Source organism: Homo sapiens, chromosome 19, assembly GCF_000001405.40.
Source record: "Homo sapiens chromosome 19, GRCh38.p14 Primary Assembly".
Lineage (NCBI taxonomy): Eukaryota > Metazoa > Chordata > Mammalia > Primates > Hominidae > Homo > Homo sapiens.
In genome coordinates this window covers 1732781-1733343 of record NC_000019.10, presented here as the reverse complement: position 1 = coordinate 1733343, position 563 = coordinate 1732781, and positions in this window count along the sequence as shown.

Genomic DNA, 563 nt, shown 5'->3' with positions numbered 1-563 from the left:
GGGACTACAGGTGCCCTCCACCATGTCCAGCCTGGAGTGGATTTTTTTTTTTTTTTGAGACGGAGTTTCACTGTTGTTACCCAGGCTGGAGTGCAAATGACACGATCTCAGCTCACAGCAACCTCCGCCTCCCAGGTTCAAGCGATTCTCCTGCCTCAGCCTCCTGAGTAGCTGAGATTACAGGCATGAGCCAGCATGCCTGGCTAATTTTGTATTTTTAGTAGAGACGGGGTTTCTCCATGTTGGTCAGGCTGGTCTCGAACTCCTGATCTTAGGTGATCCACCCACCTCGGCCTCCCAAAGTGCTGGGATTACAGGCGTGAGCCACCGTGCCCGGCGGTTATGCTTGTCGATGCTGCCTGTTTTCACTTTATAGAAGAACTGGGCTCTGTAGACACAAGCCACTTTTTCCTACCTGCTCAGAGCTGGTGAGTTTCGGGAACTGGAGGCCAGGAGCAGGGATCACGGGAGAAAAGCCCTGGGTCCCTGGGGAAGTCAGATCAGAGCCATCTGCAGAGGAGCTGGGCTGTGGGAGGGGCGTCCCCTGTCCTGCGAACCTCAGA